The sequence below is a fragment of the Homo sapiens genome, chromosome 12 (genome assembly GCF_000001405.40).
Source record: "Homo sapiens chromosome 12, GRCh38.p14 Primary Assembly".
NCBI lineage: Eukaryota > Metazoa > Chordata > Mammalia > Primates > Hominidae > Homo > Homo sapiens.
In genome coordinates this window covers 843,317-858,490 of record NC_000012.12, presented here as the reverse complement: position 1 = coordinate 858,490, position 15,174 = coordinate 843,317, and the positions used below count along the sequence as shown (strand labels likewise).

The 15,174-nt window shown below is 37.9% G+C and overlaps 1 protein-coding gene across 51 annotated transcripts in view; it reads right to left on the bottom strand.

Moving 5' to 3' along the window:
• WNK1 (WNK lysine deficient protein kinase 1) overlaps window positions 1–15,174 on the bottom strand; it is a 158,874-nt gene that overhangs the window by 52,962 nt on the left and 90,738 nt on the right. For 50 of the 51 annotated variants that reach the window (NM_213655.5, XM_011520997.4, XM_011521000.3 and 47 more), the window contains exon 5: window positions 1,242–1,330. In NM_213655.5, coding sequence (NP_998820.3) covers window positions 1,242–1,330 — 89 coding nt within the window. Of the gene's footprint in view, window positions 1–1,241; window positions 1,331–6,708; window positions 7,068–15,174 lie in introns of those variants that run through there. The other variant, XM_047429403.1, reaches the window with a different exon arrangement.

Genomic DNA, 15,174 nt, shown 5'->3' with positions numbered 1-15,174 from the left:
AGGCTGGGCCCAGTGGCTCACACCTGTAATCCCAGTACTTTGGGAGGCCAAGGTGGGTGGTTCACCTCAGGTCAGGAGTCTGCAACCCGCCTGACCAATATGGTGAAACCCTGTCTCTACTAAAAATACAAAAATTAGCCAGGTGCGGTGATGTGCGTCTGTAGTCCCAGCTACTCAGGAGGCTGAGACAGGAGAATTGCTTGAACCTGGAAGGCAGAGGTTGCAGTAAGCTGAGACTATGCCACTGTACTCCAGCCTAGGCGACGTGACAAGACTGTGTCCAAAAAAAAAAAAAAGAGTTGAAACAAACATTCCTTTGTTTATAGTAAAAAGTTCTTAAAGAGATTTAAGTACCCAGCATATATAAAAATGAAAACTCAAACTAAATTTTTACTTAATAAAGGCTTAAAAACCATGAAGTTAAGCTCTTCTAAATAACGATGTTATAAAAAGAACGAGACTGGAGAGGTGAAAAGATGGAATTCTTTAATTCGGTTGATACATCTGATAGCTCTCATTCTTCAAGTGGTAGATTATGCTCAATTTGCAATTTGTATTTGTACTAGCTGGTCTCCTTTTTCTTTTTTGGAGGATGGAAGGGGGTGGCAAAGATAGACTGTTTTTCAGAAACAGACACTGGACCTTCGCCATGCCTGACGGGTGATGAATCAGCTACATGGCAGATCAGATACTTGCCACTCCTCTAAGAGAAGCCCTCTGTTAGTACAAATGACTAAGCCACATCTCCTTCCAACCCCTGGGCCAAGTCTTCTCTTTTTACTCAAGGAATTTTGATGTTTTGCTCTTCTTCAATTCTGGCGTAAGGACGGCAAATCAGACCTGTAATAGCTGAGCTGACTTTAAAGAGCCAAAGTTTTATTTCACCACTTAGAATTCAATGGTAAAGGACTAAGAAAAGATTTCCTGTGTTAGATATTAAACTCTTTTTTGAGTTTTATAAATCATGCTGATGTTTTAAGTAAGCAGTTCTCATGGAATGTAGCTATGTTTATGGTGGTTCTGGTTTACTGAAACTCTACCAAACCATATTTTTACAGTGTTCCAGTATATCAAATCTGAATAACCACAATGAACAAAACCCTACCTTTAAAAATGTTACAGGCACAAATAGAGAAACCAATCACAAATATTAAATACACCGTAGAATGTGTGTTGTACTCAAAGCACATTACTTTTTAGGTTTTGTTCAAGTATCACCCAGATCAAAAGAGGCAACTTACCTTTCATCTTTGTTTTGTCGTATGCATCCTTCAATAATTTCCTTCACTTCAGGAATTGCTACTTTGTCAAAACTGGCTGGCTTCACCCCCTGAAAACCATAAACAGAAATACATTAATAAAAGCAGGGCCTTTGAACTTTGTTTTTTAAATTTCCAATTAAGGTTCTTTTAGGTTCCTTTCTTACTATCCCGGCTTTTTTTCTGACTCGCCTGCAGGAGTTGGTCCATGCAGTGTCACAGTTGGGTAGTGACAACTTAGCTCTTCACAAGAAAACATGGAACAGTGACAGCAGGGTCACTTACTTCCATATGTGACAATGAAAAAATTTAGGCAGATGTTAATATCTTCTGCTGTGTTTCAAGTAAAGGAATTTATTGCCTAAAAAAGAAAGCTAAATGTTCTAATTGGTTAGAAGATCTTTTGTTCAACCTTGTTCCCTAAACACATAAATCAATACAGCATTTAACTATTTTGAACACTGAACCCATGTGTGGGCATGAATTCACATGCTTAGTTTGGCAGGGATTATATTATTATAGTAATCTTTAACAAACTCAAAGGAGTTGAGGATTTATATTGTTTTGGTATGATAACTGAAGAGCAAATTGTCCTGCACAAATAAAACACAATGAAAAGTAATATATTGGACCCATACGAAAGACAAGCTCTGCAATTAATCTCAGAAGAAAACTCATTACCACTATCACATGTGATACTACATAGTAGTCATCACAGTAATAGTTTAAAATCTTTATAAAGTATAAATAAATTCTTTCTTATTTTTTTTTTTCCCTCGAGATGGAGTCTTGCTCTGTTGCCCAGTATGGAGTGCAGTGGTGTGACCTTGGCTCACTACAACCTCTGCCTCCTGGGTTCACGTGATTCTCCTGCCTCAGCCTCCTGAGTAGCCGGGAATACAGGTATACGCCACCATGCCCAGCTAATTTTTGTATTTTTAGTACAGATGGGATGGGGGTTTCTCCATGTTGGCCAGGCTGGTCTCGAACACCTGACCTCAGGTGATCCGCCCTCCTCGGCCTCCCAAAGTGCCGGGATTACAGGCGTGAGCCACCATACCCAGCCAATAAATTCTTTAAAAATAAATTTTCAGGTTGGGCGCCGTGGCTCACACCTGTAATCCCAGCACTTTGGGGAGGCTGAGGTGGGCAGATCACGAGGTCAAGAGATCGAGACCATCCTGGCCAACATGGTGAAACCCCGTCTCTACTAAAAATACAAAAATTAGATGGGCGTGGTGGCGCATGCCTGTAGTCCCAGCTACTCGGGAGGCTGAGGCAGGAGAATCTCTTGAACCCGGGAGGCAGAGGTTGCAGTGAGCTGAGATCAAGCCACTGCACTCCAGCCTGGTGACAGAGCAAGACTCCATCTTTAAAAAAAACAAAAACAAAAACAAAAACAAAACAGCAATGTGTGGAAAATATACATAAGATGTAAGAACAAAATGCTACTGTCTAAGAGGTGGGGTGAAAGAGAAAAAGATCTCATCTATTCTGACCTCATCTAAGTCACCACACGGATCAAGAGTTGAAGCACTGATATGCTGTTCAAGTGGCACTGTAAGTCAACAGACACATAAAACAAAGGGAATGGAGTTGGGGTGGGGTGGTCAGAAAAGTTAAGTTATTAAATATACATAAATTCTGATTATCTATAGTGTCAATGACAGATATGGTAAAACAAAATTAGTGACTAATAAATCACAGAAATGCATGTAATCTCTCATAGATCTAAATGAAATAAATGAAATACATAAAATGATAAGCTCTAAAGTCTTTTAAGTACAAGAGTTATATCCAAAGCTGGATAATGCTCAATTACTCATTGTATTATTCCGAAGACCCAATTTGGAGAATTCTACTCGCAGGGCTAACTTTTCACAGCAAGGAACTGTGTAGCAGGGCTGACCCTAAAGTTAAATTCATGTATTTAAAAGCTTCATTTATGAGAATGACTACAAAGATCACTATCTGTATTTTCCTCAATCTTATTTTTCCAACTCCACCTAAGTTTTTCCCAGCTTGTTTTTATCTTCATATAATTCTAGTGAAGACAAAATAATGCTGCTGAAGCAAAAGCCTGCTTTAATTGAGCAAGCTGGTATTTCAAACTTAAGACTTATGAAAATAGGAAATGCAAGAAAAAAATGAATGCCACACACTAAAAATTCTCTGATAGTAAAAAACTGAGCACAGTTGGCCCTCCTTATTCATGGTTTCCACGTCTGTGGATTCAACGAACTGTATATTGAAAATTCAAAAGAGAAAACTGTATCACAGTACTGAACACATACAGGCTTTTCCCTGTCATTATTATCTAAACAATACAGTATAACAACTGCTTACATAGCACTCACGGTGTATTAGCTATTGTAAATAATTTTTACATGTAAATACTATGGGTCATTTTATATTTCTGGAACTTGAGCATCTTCAAATTTTGGTATCCACAGGAGTGTGGGGTCCTGGAACCAACTCCCCAGACAGGGAGGAACAACTGTATTCTGGTTTACATTTGGTTTTAGTTTTCTACAATAAACATATAAAAACTGCATAAACTTTCTTTTTGTAAAGATAAGTTCTTGGCCAGGCATGGTGGCTCACACCTATAATCCCAGCACTTTGGGAGGCCGAGGCAGGTGGATCACCTGAGGTCAGGAGTGCAAGACAGCCTGGCCAACATGGTGAAACCCCGTCTCTACAAAAATTAGCTGGGCATGATGGCGGGTGCCTGTAATCCCAGCTACTTGGGAGGCTGAGGCAGGAGAATCGCTTGAACCCAGGAGGCAGAGGTTGCAGTGAGCCCAGATAGTGCCACTGCACTCCAGCCTGGGTGACTGAGCAAACCTCTGTCTCAAAAAAAACAAAAAAAAAAAGATAATGATAAGTTCTTGCTCTGTTGCCCAGGCTGGAGTGCAGTGGTGGGATTGTGGCTTACTGCAGCCTCAAACTCCTCCTGCCTCAGCCTCCCAAGTAGCTGGGACTACAGGTGTGTGCCACCATGCCCAGCTAATTTTTTGTCTTTTTGGAGAAACAAAGTCTTGCTATGTTCCCCAGGCTAATCTTGAACTGCTGGGTTCAACCGATCCTCCTACCTTGGCCTCCCAAAGTGCTGGGATTACTGGCATGAGCTAACACAATTGGCCCTTCTGATTATTTTGATAGCATTTTAAAAGTCTAGGGCCAGGTGTGGTGGCTCAAAGCTGTAGTCCCAGCACTTTGGGAGGCTGAGGCAGGAGGATCGTTTGAGCCCAGCTGTTTGAGACCAGCATGGGCACAAAGCAAGACCCTGTCTCTCCAAAGAGACAAAAAACTAGTGGGGTGTGGCGGCACATACGCCTGTAGGTCCACCTACTCAGGAGGCTGGGCCAGAGGATCATTTCAGCCCGGGAGGTAAAGGCTGCAGTGAGCCATGATTGTGCCACTGCACTCTCGCCTGGGTGACACAGTGAGACCCTGTCTCAAAAAAAAAAGTTCCTTCTTCCATAAGCACATACATTTCAAGGGAATGTATGTAGCCTACTGGCAATAAAACTATGTATTAATTTAACAAAGCAAATGTATACTGATTCTTCTGTTTTAATCTAGCATAGGCACATTGAAAGGACAAAAACATTTAACAATAAAAGACATTCAGTGTGAACTGGACAAGTAGAAGTAGTTCTGAGCTTCAGGTTTCCTGTCTAGCCAATAATGATAACACCTGTCCAACTGAATTCAAATGTCGTATCTGGGTTCAAAGCTCCTTGAAGTATTAAGTTTGCTGACCCAAGGCTACCTCTGAGTATAAAGGCAATCACCAAAGATAATAAAGGAAGGAAAATCTTTTCTTGAACCTGCTTTCATCCTTGATTATCCTTAATAATAATCCTCTTGTTAATCCTATCCCTGCAAACATATATGAATTCATGACTTTACAAATAGGAATACTCACTGCGCAAAAGATATTAAGATATAGCAAAACCAATAACTGTGCATAATACAACCTTAAATTTGGTAGGTTATGCTGCTTTTTCAACCTACAGCCAAGAGTTTTGTATAGAAAATTCCATACCAATGCTATACCACATATTTAGATACTACTACTGCCTTAAAAAATGTACCATAGGTGCCAAGTTAGCCAATAAAACTGAGACACACCTTACCAGTCCAGTAGCTGGTATTAAAAGATTAAGACTGCTTAATGCTACCCACTTAAATACTGAAAAATATAACAAGGAATTTTACCAGTCAGCAACCATCAATAAGCCAGGATTATTAAAATACCTAGCTGAGGTATTCTGAATCATTTAAGAAGCAAGCATATACAGGTATTGTATATTAAAAGTAAATGTGTACATGGAATGATTATGAAACCTCACTGATCCTAAAAGTGACCCACAGAAAAGTCATCTGGGACATGTAATAGAAAGCTGTTTAAAATAAATACAAAGTTACAGTTTTTAAAATGTACTCATAGGTTTCTCGTTCTTAAGACATGAGAACTCAATGTAATTTTTATAACTGATAATTTTTGAAAGGTGAACTAGATTATTCTTAAACACGATTTTAAGCACCAGACAGAACAAAGTAATGATAACAAGATGTTTTCATGATAAAAGAAGAAAAAAGAACTAAGCTAGATAAATTGGGTTACTATCTTACACAGAACAAAACTAGAGTTTGTTAAGGACATACAGCCCTCTCATTCCACTCCTCCAGAGCCAACAACTCACTGGCTCTACAGATATTTTTCTCTTACTTTTCTAATTCACAAGAGTTATCTTTAGGCAGTAGTGTCATATGTTTTTTGACATGGGACAGTAGCTTATTTTTCTTCATTAAATATAAGTATTTCTTGAATATCTATTGTACACTCATTACAAAACACAAAGGCCACTTCTGCACAATTTTAAATGGGGTACAAAAAAATGAACAACTGTAACTCTATAATAGCACATTGAGAGTCCGATATAAGACAAATGTTTATCAAATTTTATGTTGTATTATTTGAACTAAAAAAACCCCACAAAAACATATGCACATTTTATAGGCTGACTTCTCATTTGAATTCTATATACTGTGTTTTGCCAACTAATCTGCTAGAAAAATAAAAGTGAGTCACAACACAGAATTCTCTGACGCAATCTTTCAGATCCTAAGAATTGCCAGCACTTGCTTCTTAAAAGCTGATGCTTCAAATGTCGTAGGGTAACATTAACATTAACTCTTAATAAAGGTAAACTTTTCCCTAACCATTCAGAATTTACAAAAGCCTACCCCCTCCTCACACAGAATACACCATAAATTCACTAAATTACAGAACTCTAAATATTTTTAAAGCATTCTCAAGTTAACAATTTCAATACTTTAACTGAAAGTTAACAATTTCAATATTGGAAACTTTCTACCAATATCACCAAAAAGGCTACAATATAAACTGTTACATATACTGGAAATTCTTACCTACCTCATTTATACAATCCTTTTGAGGGCAGCAGCAGCAATGAGAATTTATGATGACAAATACTGAGCAAAAATCTTTCTTTTTAATATCCATCAGAAAAGGCAAAACAGATTTCTTATTGGAGGAAAATGAAGGAAAAAATGTCTCTGATGTACATCAGCCCACAGCATAAGGAAGGCAGACATCAAAGTCAGACTGAAACACAGTTTCTTGTTTAACACTAGCCATGCTTCCCCAACTCTCAGACAGGAATTTGCTCTACTCAGCCAACAACAGATTTATTCTAGATGGACAAAACTGCATGCCCAACAGCAGGAAAACTATTCTGTTAATATTCCTTCTGCTTCTCTGCCAACAGTAATAGATCCTAGACAAGCAAAATGGGATTTTTACTTGCTCAATGCTCCACCTACTTTGCGCACAGTTTCTATCTCCTGGACCTATCAAAACCTTTCTTGGATGCTTAACTCTATGTACACTAGAAACCCATTTACCAAAAACACTCCCTTCCTCCAATCATTTTGAAAGTGTACTTTAAAAGAAAAAAGGGATTGAGTTCAATGAACAAAGTGTAAACTCAGAATATGTAGCCAAACGAACACTGGACAGGGAATCACAATACTGGGGCTGGGTTCTCAGTTCAATCCATCACATACTATGTTTGCATGACCTGGACCATATCCCTTAAATTCGTTTTTAAAGTGGAGATAATAGTTCCTCTGTTCACCTAATTTAAAAGGCAGTGATATTAAGGTAGACTACTTTACTACTCTTTCACAGAACATTTTTTAAAAATCAACAGTATTACTACAAGGCTAGTAACCAAAACAGCATGGTACTGGTACCAAAACAGAGATATAGACCAATGGAACAGAACAGAGCCCTCAGAAGTAACACCACATATCTACAACCATCTGATCTTTGACAAACCTGACAAAAACAAGAAATAGGGAAAGGATTCCCTATCTAATAAATGGTGCTGGGAAAACTGGCTAGCCATATGTAGAAAGCTGAAACTGGATCCCTTCCTTACACCTCATACAAAAATTAATTCAAGATGGATTAAAGACTTAAATGTTAGACCTAAAACCATAAAAACCCTAGAAGAAAACCTAGGCAGTACCATTCAGGACATAGGCATGGGTAAGGACTTCATGTCTAAAACACCAAAAGCAATGGCAAAAAAAGCCAAAATTGACAAATGGGATCTAATTAAACTAAAGAGCTTCTGCACAGCAAAAGAAACTACCATCAGAGTGAACAGGCAACCTACAGAATGGGAGAAAATTTTTGCAATCTACTCATCTGACAAAGGGCTAATATCCAGAATCTACAATGAACTCAAACAAATTTACAAGAAAAAAATCAAACAACCCCATCAAAAAGTGGGCAAAGGTTATGAACAGACACTTCTCAAAAGAAGACATTTATGCAGCCAAAAGACACATGAAAAAATGCTCATCATCACTGGCCATCAGAGAAATGCAAATCAAAACCACAATGAGATACCATCTCACACCAGTTAGAATGGCGATCATTAAAAAGTCAGGAAACAACAGGTGCTGGACAGGATGTGGAGAAATAGGAACACTTTTACACTGTTGGAGGGACTGTAAACTAGTTCAACCATTGTGGAAGTCAGTGTGGCGATTCCTCAGGGATCTAGAACTAGAAATACCATTTGACCCAGCCATCCCATTACTGGGTATATACCCAAAGGATTATAAATCATGCTGCTATAAAGACACATGCACATGTATGTTTATTGTGGCAGTATTCACAATAGCAAAGACTTGGAACTAATCCAAATGTCCAACAATGATAGACTGGATTAAGAAAATGTGGCACATATACACCATGGAATACTATGCAGCCATAAAAAAGGATGAGTTCATGTCCTTTGTAGGGACATGGATGAAGCTGGAAACCATCATTCTCAGCAAACTATCGCAAGGACAAAAAACCAAACACCACATGTTCTCACTCATAGGTGGGAATTGAACAATGAGAACACATGGACACAGGAAGAGGAACATCACACACCGGGGCCTGTTGTGGGGTGGGGGTAGGGGGGAGGGATAGCATTAGGAGATATACCTAATGTTAAATGATGAGTTAATGGGTGCAGCACACCAACATGGCACATGTATACATATGTAACTAACCTGCATGTTGTGCACATGTACCCTAAAACTTAAGGTATAATAAAAAAAAATCAACAGTATTTATGTACACAAGTGGTACAAATTTTTTGCCTCTTCTTCTCCCTCCTATAAAAGTCTCAAAATTAAGACATTCCATTTGCCAGGAAGATCTCATAGACCCAAATAAAAACTACTTTAATTTTAGTGATTAAGGGAAAGTTTTTCTTCAGGGCATTAACAAAGATTGTAGAAACAGCATTGCTCATTGCTTTGTTGTAATGGGTAACAGATTAAAGTCCTCTCTCCCTTGTAATTTTGTAAGCTTGAATCCTGATCAAGACAGTGAATGCTAAGGCTTCAATTACCAACAGTACATAAGATAATGGCTTGGAAGCTGTTTGGAAGTAATACATCTAAAGGTTAGAAATGCTACTAATTCTAACAAGCTATCTCAAAGCAACTACCACTAATCTCTGGCTCAACACAATTTGTTACTACTAAGTAGTCTAGGATGTCAGGTATTGCTCAGAAATGCAGCAATGTGTGCTGCAAAAGTGCAGCCTACCTCTAACTTAACTGTATGAGCAAGCCTGTGTAGGACCATGCTTGGCTAAATGAAAGAGCTAGAAAACAAGTGCCACGTGTCCTGCCTCAAAGGTCCATCAGATATAAAGATGTGGGTAGTTTTAAAACTCTATTAGGCAACAAATAAACCAAACTGAGGGGGCTTTGGGGGGCTTGAGGAGACAAAGGTACGATGTAGGCACAAATATCTAGATTCTATAAAGAGCAACCTTTTCTATAAATCAAAATAAGAGTTTTCAATATATTACAACAAAAGTACCATTCACAGATAACAGTTTACATATCTAAACTTATTCCTCTTTCTCTCAAAGTCAGTGCCTTTCTCTGGATTTCCCCTATTTCTTTCAATCGTGTCATTATTTCCATAGTCCAGAGAAGAAACCTTAGTCATCATTGGATGCTTCTTCCCCCACAATATTTAAGTACTACTATTATTCTCTATGGGCTCTTAACACAAAGATAAAGTTAAAAACAACTGGGAAATGGTTTTGTGACTAGTATTCTTACTCTTCTCCAACAGCCAAAGATCTCTGACCAAGCAAAAAAAAAAAAAAAAAAAAGTTTTTACTGGCTTCTTTGCTGCCTCACAAGTCATTGTTTTTGTATTACAAAAGTAACCATCAAAGTTCTGATTTCTAATACCTCATCTCTTTAAGCCTAGACCAGTTTAAGATGGGCCTCATATTTCCATTCTCTTCATCTCCAATTTGTGTTTTACATTGTGGCTAGCTCCTACCATCTGACTCCATTTAAGCATCTGACATTTAACCATTTCCAATCATCTGGTATCATTTAACTCATAATCACACTGCTCAAAAACGGTTAATAGTTCTCCACACCTACTAAATGACCACAGGATCACAGATCTAGAATAAACCAGATTAAGAGTCCTTCCTTGTTCAAATAACAGAAATGTTAATTCTATGTCAAAGTTAGAATTAATCCATTAGCCAGCCAGGCGCGGTGGCTCACGCCTGTAATCCCAACACTTTGGAGGGCCGAAGCGGGCAGATCACGAGGAGGTCAAGAAAGACCATCCTAGCCAACATGGTGAAACCCCGTCTCTACTAAAAACACAAACATTAGCTGGGCATGTTGGCACATGCCTGTAGTCCCAGCTACTCGGGAGGCTGAGTCAGGAGTTATCACTTAAACCTGGGAGGCGGAGGTTGCAGTGAGCCAAGATCATGCCACTGCACTCCAGCCTAACGACAGAGTGAGACTATATCTCAAAAAAAAAAAAAAAAAAAAAAAAGAGAATTAATCCATTAATTCAACTAGTTGACTATGGAGTGTCTCATCTAGTCTAACAGCTATCAGGCAATCTGCTAGATACACTGCACCACCTTCACCACCTAGAAGATAAATATAATTTATACTCCAGTTAAGTACGGGCCGAATCAATGGTAAAACAAAAACTAGAATCCAGATTTTCCAGCATCTAGTTTAATGTTATTTCTGGTCCATGTTATTGTGCTTTTAAAAGTGGTGTGAAAATCATAATTTAACTTCCACCCACATCTTTACCCAATCTCCCCAAAGTAAGTTCAGTCAAACTGGTTACTTGTTCACTGAATACTTTAGTGAACACTTCTACCAACAAGAATACTTTTCCTATTCTGCCCCCTTTTTTCAGTCAACTGAGTCTTATGCTTCTTTCAGGGTATACCTCAAATCATATATACATACAATCCATTAGAGAAAGTAGCAATTACAAAGTATCTATATGAATCCTTTAGCATTTAGGTTATTTACAGTATATCAGAAAACTCAGTACTGCTGTATTTAAATATGGAAAACAATCTTTCTATATCCTTTGTTTTTATTCTGTAGTCTACCGCCTTGTGAATTACAGATCAATATTCAGGGTAGGTAAGTAAGGTCAGCTTTTTTGAGGAATTCTGAAATAATGATTTAATAATTATTATTTAGTACCTAAAACACTGGGAATGCTACCACCTTTAATCTTAATTAAATCACAGCAGAATAATGAAATGCTTCTGAAAATCATGCAAAATGTTCCTAAGATATAGCCCCCTAGTACTGGAACTTTTCTTTTACAATTATAACCTAAATTTGCTGGATAGACATAGAAACAAAATTTATTAAGGAACCAGTTCAGCTAATTCCAATAGATTTTCACTGATAGCACAACAAATTCTAGCTGCTAAAGAAATAAATACAAAGTTTCCTTCAACTTTTTAAACACCATCTAATCAGGAATCAGTCTCACTTGTTTCAGTAAAAAGGTAGGGTGAATTGCAATCTGTTATATAAAAACTAAAAGGAATTTTACCCTAATGGCTTTAGTTCTGTTTTTTCCCAGACAAAATGTTCAAACCTTGCAATCCAAAAGCTAATGGAATCAGTGACAAAGTCAAATTACACAAACAAAGTAATTAAAAATCCCCATTATTTCTAACTTGGTTGTTATAGGGCTGGATTCAGCCAGATTCTTACAGTTATGAACCATTAGTTTACAGGAATTTGAACATACCCTATGATCCCATTGGAAAACAAGCCTCTTTGAACTCCCTACCAAATCAAGCTAGCTCTATCAAAGAAATTAACTTACTCACGATTCCCCAAGGCTCGTTACTCTCTGAATACATGAAAGCTTGTGTACTGCTCCAGTTCAAACGCACTATCCTTCATATAAAAAGTTGATATCATTGCCTGCTACGGTTTTTATTATTTTAAAAGCACACCAAAGTGGTGCTAAATATATTCCTACTTTTACTTGGATCTTCTCATTATCAGTGGCATAGACTTTCATGACAACTGGGTCAAGACTACAAGTATAGCATACAATTAATAAGTTTTTCTCTGTTAAATAGGGGGAATGAACCTTTACTCAGAGCTCAAAACTGCAGTACCAGACTTTTGTTACTCACATCTCCTAAACTTTTTACCCTCAGTTTTCCTTGCGGTCTAGAAAACAGGTTAAAAACAAAACAAAAAAGAGGTAAAGGAAAATAATGTTAATGTTTGTATTAGTATCATGTTAACAGAACCTTGGTTTCTGACTACTATTATTTCTCCTGCATGTCCTTAGGCAAAATGCTTAAACTCTGAGTCTATTTTCTTACCTGTGAAATGAAGACATTATCTACTTATCATGATATAAAAGATTAAAACAGTATATGTAAAGCACTTTGCAAGGTGATCGACAAGATTACAAATAAATGTTAGCTTGTTCTCCCATTTAAAGCTTGATTTTATGTGACACTTAGGAAGCACATTTAAATTAATGCAATTTGCTGAATGTCACTGGTTAACATAAAAAGAGACACCTTATTTCACTACTAAATATGTATTAATAATAATGATGTTGATGATAATGGTGATACCTATTAGGTACTGATTGATAACTGTATGCCAGGCACTTTGCCTTTCTCATTTAATCTTCACAAATACTTTAGGCTCAGAGAAGTAAATAATTTGCTCAAGGTCTCACAGCTAGGCAATGACATTGCCGGAATTTGAAAGGAAGCAGATCCAACTCCAGAGCCTATTTCTTCCACCTGAAAAGGCAATCCTGAGCTGTTAAATACAAACTCTTCTTTGTATCCTTTTTCTAAGTTAGTACTAAATCTACAGAAGGGGGAGAGTGGTTTACTGGTTACTAATAGCCAGGGTATACACAATAGACCTGGGATGAAAACCAGAAATCTAGAGTGGCTGGGGTCTGTGGGTGTGTTTGTATCAGGAAGCCCTAGGATCGATCTCTTCCAATGGATAACCACGCATGTTTCTTTAATAAGTATGCAATAGTTAAGCAGACAGACACTAACATATTTTAAAATTAGTTAAATTTACTAACTAAAAATTTAAATTGCAAGCTGACTTAAGAGAAGGTACAGGCCGGGCGCGGTGGCTCACGCCTGTAATCCCAGCACTTTGGGAGGCTGAGGCGGGCGGATCACGAGGTCAGGAGATCGAGACCATCCCGGCTAAAACGGTGAAACCCCGTCTCTACTAAAAATACAAAAAATTAGCCGGGCGTAGTGGCGGGCGCCTGTAGTCCCAGCTACTTGGGAGGCTGAGGCAGGAGAATGGCGTGAACCCGGGAGGCGGAGCTTGCAGTGAGCCGAGATCCCGCCACTGCACTCCAGCCTGGGTGACAGAGCGAGACTCCGTCTCAAAAAAAAAAAAAAAAAAAAAAAGAGAAGGTACAATATTTCAAGGCCTATTTCAACACAGAATCATCATGATTGCTTATATAATTATATAAATTATATTATCTAAGAACTTATTTAAACCCTCCACATTTATCTCAGCACCCAAAACATAAGAAAACTTTTAGGAAAGTAACAAAGACCACAGCCCTTTTTATTCTTTACTAGAAGCCAGAAGATGGGAATGGAGATTGGTAAAATCTAGACAGTATTTCCTAGGCAAGAAGTATGGTAATGGACAGTGCAGAATTAAGGACTGTAGAGCATACACAACTAAATTTTCATAGCTTAGAGGAAAAATAAAGCACAAATGCATGCCACCTGCGGCATCCTTAGAAACTAAGGATTCTAGCACAGTTCCAATGGACTTACTCTTCAAGTTTTTTATTCCACATTTTCTACAGCTTGATTTACCGGTTTTCCTTTTTAAAAAGCAACAACCAGGCCTGGCGTGGTCGTTCACGCCTGTAATCCCAGAACTTTGGGAGGCCGGGGCTGGTGGATTGCTAGAGGTCAGGAGTTTGAGACCAGCCTGGCCAACATGGTGAAACCCCCATCTCTACCAGAAAATACATGTTAGCCGGCTGTGGTGGCCCATGCCTATTGTCCCTCCCAGTTACTTGGGAGGTTGAAGCGGGAGAATCACTTGAACCCAGGAGGCGTAGGTTGCAGGGAGCCAAGATCGCACCACTGCACTCCAGCCTGGGCGACAGAGCAAGACCCCGTCTCAAAAAAAAATAAAATAAAATAAAGAAAATTTTTAAAAAGCAACAACCAAAAAGGCAGAAAAAATGCAAAATTGCATATAAATGCTATAATAATATAATTTTTAAGTCAAATTGGTTACTTATAATGCTACTTAAAAGTTTACATGAATGACTGAACAATAGTTTATTTAAATAACATTTTGGTATTATACTATATAGCCTACTTTTTATTTAATTAACCAAATAAAGGTACATGGAACTGAAAAAGACCTTAAGGGATTACTGACCCAGCTCATACTTCTCAAACTTTAATGTACATATGAATCACCCTTGGACTATGTAAAATGCAGATTTTAACAGGCCTGGAATGGGGCCAAAATTTTACACTAAATACAAGCACCCTGAGATGCTGATTCTGTTGGTCTGAGGACTGCACTTTGCATGGTTGGTTTGCTAAAACTGTGGTTCTCAAAGGTGTGGTATAAAGACCCTTCAGGGTCCTCAATATCCTTTCTTGTGGTCTATAAAGTATTTCCTTTTGCAACTACATATCTGCATGAGGCCAGATTTTCTTCATATACTTCAACCCAAACAGCATATTGTAACAGACTGAACAGAAAAGCAGATATGAGAATTTAGCAATCTTCTTTTAGACTAGACATTAGATTTGCAAAAATGTGGAAATGCCCCTCTTCTCAGTAAGTTTTTAAATTTTGTTTTGGAAAATAGTTATTTGTCATAAAAATGTTATTGATACCAACATATACAGGGCTTATGTTATTTATCATTTTTAAATGCTTTTGCAAATTCTATTTTAATTTATAATACGGTAAAGTAGATAGAACACAAGTAAAT